Genomic DNA, 2266 nt, shown 5'->3' with positions numbered 1-2266 from the left:
ACAAAGGGATACCCCATTTACCCCGATGTAATTATTATGCATTGCATGCCTGTCCCAAAATATCTCATGCATTCCATAAATATATACACATACTATGTGCCCACAAAAAATTTTTTTAATTAAAAATGAAAATAAAAAATTAGCCAGGCATGGCGTTGGACACCTGCAGTGTTACCTACTCAAGGGGCTGAGGCAGGAGGATTCTTTGAGCCCAAGAATTTGAGGTTACGGTACGCTAGGCTTGTGCCGCTATCTTCCAGCCTGGGTGACAGAGCAAGACCCTGTCTCAAAAAATAAAAACAGAATAATAAAAATAAAATATTTGATATGATTTGTTTCCTTTATAATTCTATACATTTTACTTTTAATGTGTCTAGAAACATTATTCTTAGAAGAGGTTCATAAACTTCACCAGACTGGCAAAGGGGTCCGTGGCACAGAAAAGGTTAAGAAACCCGCTAAAGTCTCAGTGCGGGTCTGAGCCCTGTTCCTGGGCATGGAGTTGCCGCCGTTCACCGTAAATATGGCTCATGCATGGAAGACCTGCCACCACGTGGGACTCATGCAACACGGTTGCCTGGAAACTAAAGCCCGATCCGATTGTTACTTTTTTTTTTTTTTTAAGGAAAAAAAGCATCCGATGCCTGTAGAAGGCTGACCATGATCTCCTTGCTCCTACATTCCTCAAAAGACCACCCCCAGGAATTTCCAGCTCCCAGCAGGGAGCACCCTCTTTCCTCCCCTGCACATCGTGGTCTGCCGCTGCGGGGTGGCGGGACGGGGGATCAGCACACTTAGAAATAATCATAATACGGCCGGGCGCAGTGGCTCACCCCTGTAATCCTGGCACTCTGGGAGGCCGAGGCGGGTGGCTCACCTGAGGTCAGGAGTTCGAGACTAGCCTGGCCAATGTGGTGAAACCCCGTCTCTACTAAAAAAAAAAAAAAATACAAAAATTAGCTGGACATGGTGGCACATGCCTGTAGTCCCAGCTGCTCGGGAGGCTGAGGCAGGAGAATCACTTGAACCTGGGGGGTGGAGGTTGCAGTGAGCTGAGATCGCACCACTGCACTCCAGCCTGGGCAATAAGAGCAAAACTCCATCTCAAAAAAAAAAAAAAAAAAGAAAAGAAAAAGAAAAAAAAGGAAATAATCATAATAATCCTCCCTTTTCTCCAATATTTATTAAGCCCTTCCTTTATGTAGGGCTATGTGCTGGGTGCTAGTACATTATGATGAGCCTCAGTTTCCTCAGGAACTCATAATAATATCTCACTTCTCATTGCACTTCACAGAGTACTTTCATACCTCCCATTTAATTCTCACTCCTTGAAGTTGATATAACCATCTTTGTTTTACAAATGAAGACACTGCGAATCAGTAAGGGAAGAAACATCCCCCTGGCAACTGTCAGAGCCTGGGTGTGAAAACAGGCCCTCCGCTGCTGCTTCTGTGGCGTGGGGACGCCCCCTCTGAGCCACTGCTGGAACCAGTTTCTCTGCCGGATGCCCACTGTGACCCGTGGCATGCCCTGACATGGAGGCTGGTTGGATGGGTGTGGCTTGTGGCCTCACCAGGGCCCTGGCTTCCCTAGTTAGCCCCCTGAGACCAGCCCCAGGGTCAGATGTAACGGTAACAATCGACATCTGGCAAATTGGAACACCTTGTGGAGTGTGTCCTCACCTATGCTCCGGAGACTGGCCCTCTTCATAAGCTATGTGGAAAGAAATCCTCGAGATGCAATGTGAAGCCACTCTCTGAGAGCAGCGCACATGGGCACCTGAGGGTCTGGGAGGCAGCCCGGGGCTCTGGAAGGTGCACCATGGTGGACGGTGGACGGGGCACATTTCTTAGGCCCTATACCAGTCAGGGGCAAATGTCCTACAGGACCCCCCAGTTCCTTTTGCTTCTCAGGTTACCTTTTTTTTGAGACTGAGTTCCGCTCTTGTCCAGGCTGGAGTGCAGTGGCATGATCTCAGCTCACAGCAGCCTCTGCCTCCCAGGTTCAGGCGATTCTCCTGCCTCATCCTCCCGAGTAGCTGGGATTACAGGTGCCACCATGCCTGGCTAATTTTGTATTTTTAGTAGAGATGAGGTTTCACCTTGTTGGCCAGGCTGGTCTCAAACTCCTGACCTGAAGTGATTGGCCCGCCTTGCTTCCCAAAGTGCTGGGATTTCAGGTGTGAGCCACCGCGCCCAGCCTGCATCTCAGGAGTTTCTCACTCTTGTTGCCCAGGCTGGAGTGCGGTGGCGCAATCTTGGCTCAC

The 2266-nt window shown here is 49.2% G+C and overlaps 1 annotated feature.

Moving 5' to 3' along the window:
* Positions 903 to 1549: an enhancer, noted in NCBI's record as "H3K4me1 hESC enhancer chr1:244923887-244924533 (GRCh37/hg19 assembly coordinates)". NCBI's record gives its function as "activates a minimal SCP1, AML or CMV promoter by ChIP-STARR-seq in naive H9 embryonic stem cells {active_cell/tissue: H9 hESC(naive)}" and the evidence as "EXISTENCE:reporter gene assay evidence [ECO:0000049][PMID:30033119]".

Source organism: Homo sapiens, chromosome 1 (assembly GCF_000001405.40).
Source record: "Homo sapiens chromosome 1, GRCh38.p14 Primary Assembly".
In the NCBI taxonomy this organism is placed as follows: domain Eukaryota; kingdom Metazoa; phylum Chordata; class Mammalia; order Primates; family Hominidae; genus Homo; species Homo sapiens.
Note: the sequence above shows the minus strand (reverse complement) of the source record. Positions and strands in the feature narration are given on the sequence as shown.